At 36.6% G+C, this 17,557-nt stretch overlaps 1 protein-coding gene and 1 pseudogene across 12 annotated transcripts in view; both read left to right on the forward strand.

The window, feature by feature from the left end:
* Positions 1-17,557, forward strand: part of DNAH6 (dynein axonemal heavy chain 6) — a 360,018-nt gene that overhangs the window by 294,462 nt on the left and 47,999 nt on the right. For all 12 annotated transcript variants that reach the window (XM_011532650.4, XM_011532649.3, XM_006711956.3 and 9 more), the window contains one exon: positions 8,722-8,912. In XM_011532650.4, coding sequence (XP_011530952.1) covers positions 8,722-8,912 — 191 coding nt within the window. The remainder of the gene's footprint in view (positions 1-8,721; positions 8,913-17,557) is intronic.
* LOC100420432 (ubiquitin specific peptidase 26 pseudogene) lies at positions 2,163-3,642 on the forward strand (annotated as a pseudogene).

Raw genomic sequence — 17,557 nt, forward strand, 5'->3', positions numbered from 1 at the left:
GAATGGTCTCCATCTCTTGACCTCAGGATCCACCTGCCTTGGCCTCCCAAAGTGCTGGGATTACAGGTGTGAGCCACCACGCCTGGCCTTGAGTTAATTTTTGTATATGATGTCAAGTGTGAAGTAAGAGTCCAACATTCTTTTTTTTTCTTTTCTTTTCTTTTTGACGGAGTTTTGCCCTTGTCGCCCAGGCTGGAGTGCAATGGCACGATCTCGGCTCACTGCAACCTCCACCTCCTGGGTTCAAGCAATTCTCCTGCCTCAGCTTCCCAAGTAGCTGGGATTACAAGTGGCCACCACCACACCTGGCTAATCTTTTTGTATTTTTAGTAGAGACAGATTTCACCATGTTGGCCAGGCTGGTCTCGAACTCCTGACCTCAGATGATCCACCAGCCTTGGCCTCCCAAAGTGCTGGGATTACAGGCCTGAGCCACCACGCCTGGCCCCAACTTCATTCTTTTGCATGTTGCTACCAGTTGTCACAGCATCATTTGTTGAAAGACTACTCCTTACCCATTGAATGATTCTGGCAGCCTTGCTGAAAATCAGTTGACTACAATTGTGAGAGTTTTTTTCTGAATTTTCAATTTTATTCCATTAGCCTATATGTCTATCCTTATTCCAATGTCACACCATCTTGATTACTGCAGCTTTGAAGTAAGTTTTACAATCCAGTAGCATGACTCCTCCAACTTTGTTTTCCTTTTTCAAGATCGTTTTGGCTATTCCAGGTCCCTTGAACTTTCACATGAGTTTTACAATGAGCTTGTCAGTTCCTGAAAAGAAGCCAGCTAAGATTTTGATAAGAATGGCATTGAACCTGAAGATCAATTTGGGGAATATTTACCTCTTAACAACATTAAGTCATCTGATCTATGAACATGTGGTGTTTTTCCACTTATTTGGATCTTCTTTAACTTTATCCAACAATATTTCATAGTTCTCAGAGAAGAAGTTTTATACTTCTTTTGTTAAACTTATTTTTAAGCAATCTATTCTTTCTGATACTATTGTAAATTGAATTGCTTTCTTAATTTTTGCTATGATTTAAATGTGTTCCCCAAAGTTCCTTTATTAGAAACTTATCCCCAGTACAGCAGTGTTAAGCAGTGATTAGATCATGAGGACTCTGAGCTCATGAATGGGTTAATGTCATTGTCATATGAGTGATTTAGTTATCACAAGAATGGGCTTCTTATAAAAGCAAGTTTGGGCCTCTCTTGCTGTCTTGCTCTCTTGCCCTCTCTTGCCTTTCTGCCCTGCACCATGGAATGAGACAATATAGAGGCCCTTGTCAGATACCGTATCATGCTCTTGGACTTCAGCCTCCAGAACCATAAGCCAAATAATTTATTTTCTTTATAAATTACCCAGTCTCAAGTATTCTATTATAGCAGCACAAAACAGACTAAAACCATTTTCTCCCTTCTCATTACTACTGTATAGAAATACAGTTGATTTTTGTATCCTGTAATCTTGCCTAACTTGTTTATTGGTTTTAATAGTTTTTGAGTGAGTTCCCTAGTGTTTTGTATATACAAAATCATGTCACCTTCAAATAAAGATAAATTTACTTCTTCTTTTCCAATCTAGATGCTTTTATTTTTCTTACTTAATTGCCCTAGATAGAACCTACAACACAATGTTGAATAGATGTTATAAGAGCAGATCCTTGCCTTGTTCCTGATCTTAGAAGAAAAGCATTCAGTCTTTCATCATTAACCATGATGTTAGCTGTCAACTTTTCATGGATATCTTCTATGGTTTGGCTGTGTCCCCACCCAAATCTCATCTTGAATTCTCATGTGTTGTGGGAGGGACCCAGTGGGAGGTAATTGAATCACGGGAGCAAATCTTTCCCGTGCTGTTCTCGTGACAGTGAATAAGTCTCACGAGATCTGATTGTTTTAAAAAAGAGGAGTTCCCCTGCGCAAGCATTCTCTCTTTGCCTGCTGCCATCCATGTAAGGCGTGACTTGCCATGCCATGATTGTGAGGCTTCCCCAGCCACGTGGAATTGTAAGTCCAATTAAACCTCTTTCTTTTGTAAATTGCCCAGTCTTGGGTATGTCTTTATCAGCAGCGTGAAAATGGACTCATACACTATCCCTTATCAGGTTGAGGAAGTTCTCTTCTATATTCCTAGTATGTGGAGTGTTTCTCTCAAGAATTTTTAGGCCACTATTTGGATCAAGTGAAGGAAGACAGAAAAATTAAATAAATCGTGGAAGACTAATATTGAACTTGAGAAAGAAAGTTTACTTTGATGGATTTTTGCTGATAATACTGCTACAAGAGTATGCAATAATTATTACCAATTTAAAGTTTGAGTTACTGTAATTCTCATAACCTGTTTAATGACCTATCCATTAGCCTTCTACAAGGAAAAATACACTTCCTTATTCCACTTAACATTCTCTTATTTTTTCTGTAGGTCTCAGGAACTTGAGTATGATGCTAAGAAGTGTAAGGACAAGGGTTCTATCATAATGCACAATTTCAGTAGGTCACCCAGGATTCTGATAGGTCACCTAATACACTATAGCTTTAATAAGATTTGTCACTAGTGAAGGATGAGCAGGGAATCCTTATTCCCAAATATTTAAACTTATCTTCTCATCCAAAGAAAACACAGAACCATGCCCTTTCTCTGGGCAGGGAATTCCCAGTCACAGAGAAGTTTTCAGTGGTGAATTTGTGCACTCACCCATCAATACCTTCAAAAAAGTATTCCTCTGAAGCCAGGAATTGCCTTTGGAAATGCCAGATGGCTTCTGATGGAAAGGATAAACTGAAAAATGCTCTGAGGGCTTCAGTCAGAGACTGTGTGAAGGATCAAACAGCAAATCTAAAAAGAGGGTTTTAAGCAAAACATAATAGAGTCACATATATCATAATGGGAAATTTACTTTTATAAAAAAGAGAGAGGAGCTCCTAGCAAAGAACTTGGTGATAAAGAGGGAAGAGATTGACCATTCTCTAATGATCCCGCAATCCAGACATGGGATTTTGCAGAGGGTGATCTTTAAGAAATGCCTGTATATCTAGGCCTTATAGATTATAAGAAATCCAAGCCATTTCCACAGCAAATTCTTGCCATTACTGCCATCAAGATCTCCATGAGAATAGGACAGAAAAATATCCAAAAGAGGCACAGGGAGAAGTTGATCAGTTCCAGCCATGTGATATGAAGAAGCCCTTGAGGACCAAGCAGGTCAGTGTCACTATCTAGGAACCTACAGCAGCACAGTACAGTGGAGCACAGAGAGAAAGACCTCAGCATAACTACAGAGTTAAGTCCACTGCAAGTGCACTGCAGGATGGCAAGACTTTCCTGGGTAGAGTGAGATCTGATACGGACTTTGAAAGTCAGGAAATGTATATACAGACTGCACAAAAGCTAAAGCTGAAGAACTGATCAAAAATGTCAAGCCAGGAAATCTTCCATACTCCTGCCATCTCAGCATGTTCATAAGGAAACACTCTCTATTCAGGCCATTATGCCACTGATGGTTTCAACATCAGGAAGCAGGCCTGGTTCATTTATACTGACTAGAATAACTAAAATCAAAGAAGTGACTAACTAAGATAGGAGTTACTATGTTATCTTTTGTATGAACAAGATCTTTAATACACTATTGTAAACAGCAGAGAACTCTAAACCACCTAATACGAAAGTGGGAAGAACCATTTAGCAATGATTGTGAGATACAACCCTTGGGCTGGCATGCATACATAACTCACTTCTATGGTACAGCCCCTTCTTCCACCTGAGAATCATTCACCTTCCACCTTCCTGAGAGACAACTATCACCGGGACAAATCAAAGGACAGGAAACCGCATGCTAATTCTGCAGGAATCCTCTTCATGGCTTTAACTGATGCATCTCCTTTCTGTATTTTATGTACTTAACCATGTTCTTGGGTATATGTATTGGGTGACTAGAGCCCACATGAGGGTATGTTTTATGCACATTTATTTTCTGCATATTTAAAATGTTTCATAAAGAAAATTAGTTCACATACATGAGAAATTGCACATGTTACATATGCTTGTAACAGACCAATAGCTTGTGATAAAGCCACTGAGAACCAAGATCACTATGTAATATTAATGACAGTTTGTCCTGTTTGCGAGAAAAATATTTCTCCAACTTTTTAAGTTCAAAAGCATTTCATGAGTGTGTTACCATTTTGGTATTTAAATAGCAACCCCAAGAAATAAGTTATTTGTGTTTTGTATATTGTAATTCATTGTAAACTCTTGGAACACTTTTCAGCAAAGTAAAAAGCAAATGGTTTATATAATCAAGGCCTTTTGAAATAAAAACTATAAAAGAAGTTGTTCCAAAAATAGAGAAGGAGGGAATTCTCTCTAATACATTCTATGAGGCCAGTATTATCCTGATACCAAAACCAGATAAGGACACAACAAAAAAAGAAAAATATAGACCAATATCCCTGATAAATATAGACTCAAAAATCCCCAACAAAATGCTAGCAAACTAATTCAATGGTACATCAAAAAGATAATATAATATAAAGATAATATCAAAAAGACAATATCAAGTGGGTTTTATCCAGGGATGCAAGGATGATTTAACGTATGCAAATCAATAAATGTGATACATCACATAAACAGATTTAAGGACAAAAATCATATGATCATCTCAATAGACTCAGAAAAGCATTGATAAAATTCAGCACCCCTTCATGATAAAAACCCTCAACAAATTAGGCATAGAAGGAACATATCTCAAAATAACAAAGCCCATGTAAGATAACCTCACAGCCAACATTACATTGAATGAGGAAAAGTTGAAAACATTTCCTCAAAAATCTGGAAGAAAACAAGGATGCCCACTTTTACCACCTGTCTTCAACATAGTACTAGAGTCCTAGCCAGAGCAATCAAGCAAGAGAAAGAAGTAAAAGGCATACAGTTTGAAAAAGATGAAGTCAAATTATTCCTGTTTATTGATGATATGGTATAGTATGATATATCCAAAAAATAAAATTTAAAACTTCACCAAAAACGCTTAAATTTGATAAATGAATTTAGAAAGTTGCAGAATACAAAATCAACATACGAAAATCAGTAGCATTTCTAGATATTGATAATGATCTAGCTGAGAATGAAATTAAGAAGGTAAACCCATTTATAATAGCTACCAAAAAAAAAAAAATACCTGGCTGGGCGCAGTGACTCACACCTGTAATCCTCACACTTTGGGAGGCCAAGATGGGTGGATTGCCTGAGCTCAGGAGTTCGAGACCAGCCTGGGCAACATGGCAAAACCCTGTCTCTACTAAAAATACAAAAAATTAGCCAGATGTGGTGGTGCTTGCCTGTGATCCCAGCTACTTGGGAGGCTGAAGCTGGAGAACTGCTTGAACCCAGGAGGCAGAGGTTGCAATGACCCAAGATTGTGCCACTGCACTCCAGCCTGGGCGACAGAGCAAGACTCTGTCTCAAAAAGCAAACGAACAAAAAAAACCCAATACCTAGGAATATATTTAACCAAGGAAGTGAAAGATCTCTACAAAAAAAACTACAAAACACTGAAGAAAGAAATTGTGAATGACAGAAATAAATGGAAAAACATCTGATGCCCATGGATAAGAAGAATTACTATCAATAAAATGACCATACTGTCCAGAGCAATCCACAGATTCAATGTAAACCCTAAAAAATACCAACATCACTTTTCACAGAATTAGAAAAAGCAATCCTAAAATTATGTGGAACCAAAAAAGACCCCAAATAGCCAATGCAATCCTAAGAAAAAAGAAAAAAGCTGGAAGCATCACATTATCTGACATCAATTATATTACAAGGCTATAGTAGCCTTGTAATAAATGAAGTGCTGACATCAAATTATATTACAAGGCTATAGTAATGAAAACAGCATGGCACTGTTATAAAAATAAATACATAGATCAATGGAACAGAATAGAAAACCCAGAAATAAAGCCACATATTTGCAGCCAACCAGTCTTTGGCAAAGTCAACAAGAACATACAATAGGAAAAAGACACCTCTTTCAGTAAATGGTGGTGGGAAAATTGGATTGCCATTTGCAGAAGAATGAAACTGGATCCCTATCTCTCACTATATACAAAAACCAACTAAAGATGAACTAAAGACTTAAAAGTAAGACCTGAAACTATAAAAATACTAGAAGAAAACCAAGGGAAACTCTTCTTGACATTGGTCTAGGCAAAGAATTAATGACTAAGACCTCAAAAGCACAGGCAACAAAAAATAGGCAAATGGGACTTAATTATCTAAGAAGCTTCTGCTCGGCAAAAGAAATAATCAGCAGAATAAATGAATAATCTGCAGAATGGGAGAAAATACTTGCAAACTATGCATCTGACAGGGGACTAATATCCACAATACACAAGGAACTCAACAACAATAACAAAGAAAAGAGATAATCCAATTAAAAAACAGGCAAAGGGACATAAATAGACATTTTTCAAAAGACATACAAATGGCTAACAGGTATATGAAAAATACTCAACATCACTAATCATCAGAGAAATGCAAACTAAAACCACAATGAGATATTATCATACCCCAGTTAGAATAGCTATTACTAAAAAGTAAAAAAATAACAAATGTGAGTGAAGATGCAGAGAAAAGGGAATACACATTTCCACTCTTTGTGGGAATGTAAATTAGTGCAACCTCCATGGAAAACAGTATTTAAAAAAATTTTTTTTGAGGCATGATCTCACTCTGTCACCCAGGCTGGATTGCAGTGGCACAATCACAGCTCACTGCAATCGCAAATTTCTGGGCTCAAACAATTCACCTGCCTCGACCTCCTGAAGTGCTGGGATTACAGGCATGAGCCACCATGCCTGGCAGAGATTTCGCAAAGAAGTAAAAAGAACTATCATTTGATCCAGCAGTCTCACTACTAGGTATCTACCCAAAGGAAAGGAATCAATATATCAAAAAGATAATTGCACTCATATGTTTATCACAACACTGTTCACAGTAGCAAAGACATGGAATCGACCTACATGTCCATCAATGGATGACTGGATAAAGAAAATGTCATATATATACACAGTTGAATACTATATTCGACCATAAAAATATATAAAATCATGTCTCTTGCAGCAACGTAGATGGCACTGGAGACCACTGTCTTAATTGAAACAAGTAAGACACAGAAAGGCAAATATCACATGTTCTCACTCAGAAGGGAGAGCTAAATATTATGTACACATGAATGTAGAGAAAGGGATGGTAGACAATGGAGACTCAGAGGGGTGAGAAGGTGGGAAGGGGATGGAGGATAAAAAAAAAATTACTTAATGAGCACAGTGTACATTATTCAGGTGATGGAAACCCTAAAAGCTGTGACTCAACCACTAATGTAGTCTACACATGTAACAAAATTACTTTTACCCCATAAATTTATACAGAAAAGAGTGTCCACCCAAAAAAAATATAAAGAAATTGATGCTGGAAAGGTTAAGTGAATTATACTTAGCCACACAGTAACACAACTAGAAGTAGAACTAAGCTCCAAACGTGATGGCCCTATTGCATAGCTGTTCCTTCTAGACCTTTACACCTTTATAGTTAGTACCATAATACATCCTCACTTAAAGGAACAGGCATGTGAACACCATCTTTTCCCAAGTTGGCCACAGAAGGGTGTGATCCAAGGCCATGGCCCTAGACCAGGTTGGGACACCTCCCTGCCCAACAGCATTACATACACACACACACATACACACACACACACACACACACACACACACACAGAATAAGGCTTGTTTGGACAGAACGGTGTTGATAGCTAGTGGAGGGCTAAGGGGAGGGCTGCTGTTAACAGTTATGCAGGATGTCCACTGAATAACCCATGGGGGAGCCATTCACATTGTAGATATTATAGGCTGTGTATTTATCATGACAGCTTTCTGGCACATTAAAAGTCCCTTGAAGAGGAGACACCTTTTTCTATCTCACACAAAGGCTCCATATGGGTTGGGGAGGGACAAGGCCAGCAAGAACAGGAATGGGGTAGGTAGGGTAGGGTAGGATCAGTGAAAGAACCAAATTGATGTAGGAAATGGCCAGGCCTGGGCGTAATCATCAAGGCTGAGGTTGGTTCCAGAGAAGGGTCAGAAGAGGCTGGTGAGTGAATGAGATGAAGAAAGGGAGACAATAAATGGAGCCAATTTTCTGAAAAGTTGGCTTGTGAGTGCTTACAAAGAAATGAAATAGTGGCTGGAAAAGTAGCTGCCATCAAGGGAAGATCTCTGTTTTGGTTTTATTTTTAAGGATGGAATATAGTAATGCTTAATTGTATGATGATAGGAATATCAAGGAAACAGAGATCAATAATGCAGAAAGAGACAATGGAGGGGCTGAAAGTAAAGTCCACAAGAATGTGAAACAGGACAGAAGAAGCAAGGAAGGGGAGACAGCAGCTTCATAAATAGAGTGAATGTTGAGGGACTTCCCTCTTACCTAATATTTCATCCTGCTTGTGAGTCATGAGAACCATAGCTGTCCACAGATATTTGGTGAACAAATCCACCAAACAATATCTATAAAAAGATGTATACCCAATCAAGACAGAATAAGTACAAAAACACAGGACACCAACCTCTGAGGAGCTGAAGGAGAAAATTAGGATAAAATTATGAAGGATCCTCATTCAACATACTTTTTTTTTCTTTTCAACTTTCAGGTGGTTTTTGCTCTTACAGACTTTGTGATAGAAAATCTTGGAAAACAGTTTATAGAGACACCACCTGTGGACCTGCCTACCCTGTATCAAGACATGTCATGCAACACTCCCCTGGTATTCATCCTAAGCACAGGCTCAGATCCCATGGGTGCATTTCAGAGGTTTGCCAGGGAAAGTGGATATTCAGAACGGTAAGTTCATGTTGTGCAGTTTTAATAATGCAAATGCATATGAACATCTCTTTGTTAAAATTTGCCTTTGTTCTTCCCCTTGTAGAGCATAAATTCTTACATTCAGGTATCACTTACTACATAAATTTAAGATATGTTAATAGTTAGCTATTGTTAAAACAGGGTCAAAAGTCATAAACGTAGCTGTAAATTTTATTTAAGCAAAGGAGAAATTGCTTAAAATATTAAAGTTTAATAATCTAGTGGAATAATTATTGAAATTTGTTTGGTATTTAAGACAGGATTTTAACATAACCAAAAAGGTACTGCAGTTTACTCTCTATAATCAAATGTACAAAAAAAGAGCTCTTCATGTTCTATTATTAATCTCTTCTTTTTCATGAGTCTTCACTCTTCTGGGTAATAGGGACAAGGGGGATGTTTAAACTTGCCCATTTACATTATTTTCTTCTGACTTAAATGTCTCCTTTACAGTAAGCTGATTTGGTTTTTTTTAATGAAAGTTCAGTCTTCCTGACTCCTTTTTCTATCCCTAATCCTCTCCAAGATGTCATCCAGGTAGGTAAAAAAGTATGCAAGACCACACAATGGCAGAGGAGAATAGGGGTCTCAGATCCACGAGGTAGCCTCCAGCTCTGATGGGTTCCTTCATGGAGTGGCTGGTCTGGCCTGGTCCCTGGACGTGGAATTAAGGATGGATTCCATTTCTTCATTTGGAGTTCATGTTCTGTATTAGTCAGCAGTCTCCAGAGAAATAGAACTGATAGGATGTGTGTGTGTGTGTGTGTGTGTGTGTGTGTGTGTGTGTGTGTGTGTGTGTGTATGAAGTTGCAAGATTTACAGGCAACAACTGGAAACTCAGCACAGCTGATGTGTAGTTCCAGTCTGAGTCCAAAAGCCTGAGAGCCAGGAGAGCTGATGGTATAAGTACCAGTCCAAAACTCAGCAGGCTTGAGACACAAGAAGAGCCAATGTTTCAGTCTGAGTCTAAAGGCCAGAAAAAAACCGATGTTCCTGCTTAATAGTCAGGCAGGAGAAGTTCTCTCTTATTCAGCCTTTTTATTATATTCAGGTCTTCAATTGATTAGCTAAGTCCCGCTCACTTAGCTTAGGAAGGGCAATTTGCTTTACTCCATCTATTAATTGAAATGCTAATCTCACCCAGAAACACCCTTACAGATATATCCAGAATAATGTTTGACCAAATATGTAAATATCTCATGCCTCAGACAAGTTGACACACAAAATTAATCATCAAATGATCCTAAACATTTGCCTTTGGTTCTGAAATCTCAACAAAGTATTACTACAGACTTATTAAGAGTTTCTGTGAATCAGTAAGAAAAAGAAAACAACCCAAAAGGAATAAAGTCAAAAAATACAAACAGAATTATCAGAAAAGGAAAACTAAATGCCCAATGAGCATATGAAAAGATGTCCAGCCTTACTAGTAATTTGGAAACAACAAATTAAAACCATGAAAAGATGCCATTTCACACCTATCCAACTGGCAAAATGGTAGCAAAGATATGGAGCTATGGAAACAATTCATACTGCAAGGGGAGTAAAAAATAAGCAAAAATTATTTGGCAGTATATATTAAAGTCGGAGGGCATCTTCAATAGCTCAACAATTCACTACTGAATTTGCATCATAGAGAAAAAATCAATCATATTTGTATGAGAAGCCACATTCAAGTCCTTTTTTTATAATTTCAACTTTTAGACTTCTGTGATATTTCATTTTCTGTTCCTGCATTAATTCATTTAAGATAATGGCCTCCCACTGCATCCATGTTGCTGCAAAGAACATATTATTCTTTTTTATGACTGCATAGCATTCCATGGTGTATATATACATTTCCTTTATCCAATCCACTGTTGATGAGTACCTACCTAAGTTGATTCCGTATCGTTGCTACTGTGAATAGTGTCAAGAACATTTACAGAAACATTGTTTGTAATAATAAAAGTTGGAAATAACCTAAATTTCCAACTAGAAAATGAGTATATAAATTGATATATTCATAAAATGTAATATAATACACTATGGCCATGAAAATGAATAAACTAGAATAATGTCTATCAATATGACTATGTCACACAAACTAATATTGAGCAAAAAAATTACATTTCAGAAGAACTTAAATATTCAAGAAGTAGAATAAAATATGTAAAATTATTAAACAAGCAAATAATTGCATGTATTATTTAGGAATTCATATTTTTTTAAAAAGTGTAAAGAAAGGTAGAGAAATTATATGAAATCCAGAATAGAAGTGACCTTGGGAGTGGAGGTTAGGTAATGAGAGAGAAGTAAACAAGGAAAGGCAGACTGAAGGCTCAGATCATGTAGATAATGTTTTATTTCTTAAGCTGGATTGTGGATACATGAATATGCGTTGTATTAACTTCATCGCTTTTGTGACTCTTAACTATTTCATAATAATTTTTAAAGTAAAGGTAGAATTCAAGATGACAATTAGAAAATTAGGAAGGTTATTAATCAGTAGCTAATGAGTGCTAATTTCTTGATATATTCAGGAGGAAAAAAGAAGTATAGAATCACTATATTCGCTTAGGAAAATTCGTGGTTTCATGTAAGTGTTAAAATTTTAGGGGAAAAGACTAAAAGGATAAATGATCTGTAGTTTCCAAACAAGCAGAGGAGAAAAAGGATATACAGTCGAATATTTCCATCCAAAAGCAGATAGGAATAAAGAAAATCAAAAATGAAGTATAGTAAACCAAAAAGTCAAACTAGAGAGTAGAAATTAATGCAAATACCTAAATAGGTATAAATATCTCACCTAAGAACAAATAAAAGTGATCAAGTTAGATTTCAAAAACAATTTTTATTTATATGCTATTTAGAAACCACATGTACAATACAAAAACAATACAGAAGGTAGAAAATAAAGAAATTCAAAAGATATATGCCATGCAAATACTAATGAAAAGAGAGCTAGTAACAGTTCCAATGTATATCACAAAACAGCGTTTGAAGCAAAAGATTTTATTAAGGATTAAAAGGAAAACTACATGGTATACAAAACAATCCACAAAGAAGAGACACCAATTGTGAAACTGTACACAACTAACAACAAATGTTGAATTTATAAAGCAAAAATGGAGAAATTTATACAAGAAAAAATTGATAAATCAACATTAATATGGAAAATTTTAACACATCCGATAGAAACTGTCATGAAGCAAACAAAAGTTGCAAAATGGGTAAAAATATAAAATATTCAGACAGTGAAATTAAGAACTTTGATTTCTATACTTAACAAATATAACAAATGCAAGATTTTCAAGTATCCATGGAACATTTACAAAAATTAGCCATGCTTTTAGAAAGACACATATTTCTAAAAGAAGACAGATATTTTCTCTGACCACAATAAAATCTTGGGAATCTATCTTAAAACATTATTTTTTAAACATTTTGGGAAACAAAAAAATGCACTTCTGCACATCCATGTGTTAAAGGGAAAACAAAATGGGAATTTCCGTAAGTGGAAGTAGATGACAAAAACAATATTACATATAAAAACCTGTAGGATGTAGTAATGTGGCACTTAGAGGTAAATTGATGCATATTTGTGGACTTCTCATTCCAGTAATAACAAACTAAGGACTCAGATCAATATTTCCACTAAGAACACCTAGAAAACATAGACAAAATATTTAAGGAAATATATGTTTGAAGGTCTGGAGAATTAATAAAATAGTGAAGAATATTTAGGAGGAAAGGAAAACCTAGAGCAATGAGCCCGGCACTCATGGCCATTTTTTTCCTAGAGGCACCAGAGGAGGAGGCTAAGGGGCTGTGAAGTGAGCCAGACATTTTGATTGCTTCAAAGGACAAAGGAGACAAAATAAGAACCCAAAGCCCACTAAGTAGGAGGGGAGGCTGGTAAACCCCCTTACTTTAGGTTTGCACTCCAAGGAGATTTATCAAAACAAATAATGCCAGGTAAGAAATAAATGGTTTGTGGAAGAGGTGAAGATGATCCCTGACTACTAGTATCTCTGGATGCCTGCCAGAAAACATAAATCTTATCTGGGGGAACAGAAAATTTTAGCTGCACAAGGAAATGTATACAAGAGAACCCCGGACTACATGTTTAAAAACCAAGAAAAACAGTGTCTATTAGAAACAGAGCACAGAGTATCCTGATAATGGATATACGACATTAATTTTAAGATAACTTTAAAATGTTCAAGGAAATAAAAAATTGAGAAAATTGGCAGACAATTTAAATTACTTCAAATAAAATTCTAGAATGTAAAAATATAACTGAGCCAGGCACAGTGGCTTATGCCTGTAATCTCAGCACTTTGGGAGTCTACGTAGGAAGATCACTTGAGCCCAGGAGTTTGAGACCAGACTGGACAACATAGTGAGACCCCATCATTACAAAAAAGTTAGCCAGGTGGAGTGCTGCACACCTGTAGTCCCAAGCTACTCAGAAGGCTGAAGTAAGAGGATCACCTGAGCCCAGGAGCTTGAGACTGCAGTGAGCCATGTTCATGCTACTGCACTCCAGCCTGAGTAACAAAGTGAGATCCTGTGTCAAAAAAAAATGTATATATATAGATACACATATTTATAAGCGTATATATATATATATAAAACTGAAAGTAAGAATTCAATATATCAATTTGATGAATTGAAAGTATGAAGAGACAAAACAATAGAAAAGATGGAAGAGAAGATAAGAGGCAGAGATACAGTGACAAGATCTATTAAAGTGTAATTTGAGTCCCAGAAGGAGAGAAGAGTGCAGAATATTTTAATAAACAATGACTGAGAATTTTCCAAAACAAAAGACATCAATCCACAGATTATATAAACTCTACTAAACCCCAAGCATAATAAATGCAAAGAAAATTCTCTACCTAGACCCATTACAGTGAATTGTGGGGGGAAAAAAAAGAACATATTAAAAACAGATTAATTTCAAAGATGCAACAAATATGCCATTGACTGATTTCTCTGCAGAAATAATGAAATCTGGAAGACATATATTCTACGTGTGAAAAGCAAATTACTGTCAAAACTTCTCTTAAAAAATAAAGTCAACATTAAGCCTCTTTTAGACAAAGAAGAAATTGAAAATGGAAACCCAAAAATAAATTAAGCAGAATAATGGAGGAACTATATCAAAACTTGTGAGATGCTCCTAAATTCAGAATTAGAGGGAAATGTATAGGCTTAAATATATATGTTATATAAAAAACTATCTAAACTTAGTAGTTAAATTCTACTAGAATTTAAAAAATAAAAATAAGAGCAAGAATTAATGACTTAGGAAACACACAATAGACAGGATCCAAAAGACCAAAAGTTGACTTTTTAAACTTAATAAAACTAAAAAATTCCTGCTGAAACTGATTAAATAGAGAGAGTCTAAAAATATTTATCAAAATGAATAAGGGAATATCATTGCAGATCAGCAGACATTAAAATGAGTGTATTATTAAAAAAAAAACTTTTGCCAATGAATTTGAAAATTTTAGTGAAATTTAAAGTTCCTCAAAAAACATAACTTTTAAAATTGATAAGCATAAATAGCATTTCTGAATAGTCCAATAATTTTAAAAGAAATTTATTATTAAAAACCCTCCCACAATAAAAGCATAAAAAATAAAATACTTCAAGACAAATATAATAAAAGATATGCAAGATCTCACCACAGAAAAGTATATAATATTACTGAAGGAAATCAAAAATACCTAAATAAAGGATGGATATGCCATATTTATTAAGTGGAAGACTCAATATTGTAAAGATATCAGTTCTCCTCAAGTTGATCTATATATTCAATGCCACCAAATCAAAATACCATTTGGTGTTTTGGGTGGAAATTGACAAGATACTTCTAAAACTTATATATAAATGCAAGGACCAAGAATAACCAAGCCAGGTGTTATATCAGCAATGGCAGAGTAGAAATTCCAAAAATCTATCTCTACACGTGTAAGGAAAATCTATGTGCTATGGTGAGTTGAGTCAGATATCTGGGCCAGTGTGACTCAGTGAGTTTGGAGCACAGGTGCAAAACTCTACTTGTTATATAACCTGTTCATGTAAACTCATACTTGGCTCCCAGCCACTATTGTCTGTAAAAGGTACAATTGCCCTGCTGATGCTGTACATATGGTTCACACCCAGAAAGAGAGAGTGGAGCTGCTGACCCTGTAAGGGAGAGCCATGGGGATGGCAGGAGCTGCGGATCCAGCCGCTGAGAAGGGCTGCAGCCAGAGCGGGCAACCAAGATAAAGACAGAGCAGCCAGAGAATAAAAGCCATATTTTACGTGCCTATGGCCCCCTGAGTGTTCTTTCAGCTATCTGCCATCCGTCCACCCACTCCCCTCAGACCTCAGCATGGGCTGGAACCTGACACTTGGCGTGACAACACAAAAATAACAGTCTGGCAAAAACTGTCCTAATCAACTTTATCAAAACTCTGGAAAATAACCAAAGGTTTCAGCAACCAAGTGAATGCTTAATAAAGAAAAAGCAGCTGAATCTAGACAGGAGAGCTTTGTGGCATTTTAACTTACCCCAACCCTCATTCTCTAGCTTAGCAATGGTGTGAGTTCCTGGTGCCATAGTGAACAGAAAATATCTTGTTCTTGGGGGATTGTAGTTGTTTGTTTTGGCCTGTCTGGTGGCTCTTTGAAGGACTAGCTCACAGGTCTTAATTTTATTTAATCTAACTAGGAATGCTCCAGTAGAGAGGTACTACCCTGGAAGATTTTGTCAAAATTATATAAAGGCAAATATATGAGCCACTGCCTCGTGGCCCAAGGGATAACAGTTGAGGCAACTAGCAGACAAAGCAGAAAGCCTGGGAGGAAAGATGAGAGTAAGATGCTTTGGGAAACAAAAGCTTTGAAAATCTCCTACATATTTTTGGGAATCCAGAAGGACACACTCATGCTCAAGGTTGAGTGTGTACTCACAAAAGACATGAGAAGAACTAAGCTCTAACCTCTGGCTAACCTTCAGCTTGGCCCAACCAGGAAGTGAAGGCTAATGCAGATTTGTAAACTGCCCAGCTGAGTGTTGAAGTCATACCCCAAGGCACACACAGAGCCCATCTGCAAAACCTGGGAAATTTTTGTTGTTGTTTCAGACATTTAATGAAATCTCTGTTGAATTACTAGCTGAACACTAAACTGATTGAATAGAGACATACAACAAAAAATACTGACCTTACAAAATTAGTTTATAAAAGTCTTTAAACAAACCAAAGACAGCAACAAGAAACCCTGGGAAGTGGGGACCGTCTAATTTCCAGAGTTGTGACATTATAATATTCTAAATGTCTGCTTTTCAACAACAAAAAATACAAAGCATCCAAAGACATAAGAAATTATGACCCATTCAAAAACAATAAAAACTGACCCTAATGAATGCCAGACATTGGGCTTACTAGACAAAAACTTTAAATCAAATATTTTAAATGTGCTCATACAGTTAAAGGAAACATGAACAAATAACTAAAGGAAAACATGAGAATGATGACTCACCAAAATAGAGAATATCAATGAGATAGAATTTATTAAAAGGAAACAAGTAGAACTTTTGGAGATAAAAAGTACAATAATTAAAATGAAAAATATACAAAAGGGATACAACAATAGATGTTAAGAAACAGAAGAAAATGTCACGAACATGCAGATAGGTCTATTGAGATTACTCAATTTGGTGAGCAAAAATAAAAAAATACAAACAGAACCTGCCAGGTGTAGTGGCTCACACCTGTAACCCCAGCACTGTAGGAGGCCAAGGTGGAAGGATCATGTGAAGCTAGGAGTTACAGACCAGCCTAGGCAACAAGGTAAGACCCTGCCTCTACAAAAAATAATAATAATAATAATTAGCCTGGCATGGTGGCATGCGCCTGTAGTCCCAGCTACTTCGAAGGCTGAGGCAGGAAGATTGCTTGAGCCCAGGACTTTGAGGTTCCAGTGATCTAAGATCATGCCACTGCACTGTAGCCTATGTGGCAGAGCAAGATCCTCTGTCAAAAAAAAAAAAATGGGGGCCCAGCGTGGTGGCTCACACCTGTAATCCCAGTACTTTGGGAGGCCAAGGTAGGTGGATCACCAGAGGTCAGGAGTTTGAGACCAGCTTGCCCAACATGGAGAAATCCTGTCTCTACTAAAAGTACAAAATTTGCCGGGTGTAGTGGTGTATGCCTGTAATCCCAGATACTCAGGAGACTGAGGCAGGAGAACCACTTGAATCTGGGAGGCAGAGTTTGCAGTGAGCTGAGATTGCACCATTGCACTCTAGCCTGGGCAACAAGAACGAAACTCAGTCTCAAAAAAAAAAAACAAAAAGAAGTTAACAGAACCTAAGATACCTGAGAGATACCATCAACCATACCAACATACACTAATGGAAATCTGAGAAGAGGAGAGAGAAGGGGAAAGAAAGAATATTTGAAGAAATAATGGTCCATACTTCCCAAATTGATGAAAGGTATGAATCTACACATCCAAAGACCTTAATGAATTCTAAGTAGGATAAACTCAAAGACAGCTATACCAAGACATGCTATAATCAAACTATCAAAAGACCAGACAAAGAAATAATCCTGAAAGCAGCAAGAGAGAAGTGAATT

Source organism: Homo sapiens, chromosome 2, assembly GCF_000001405.40.
Source record: "Homo sapiens chromosome 2, GRCh38.p14 Primary Assembly".
NCBI lineage: Eukaryota > Metazoa > Chordata > Mammalia > Primates > Hominidae > Homo > Homo sapiens.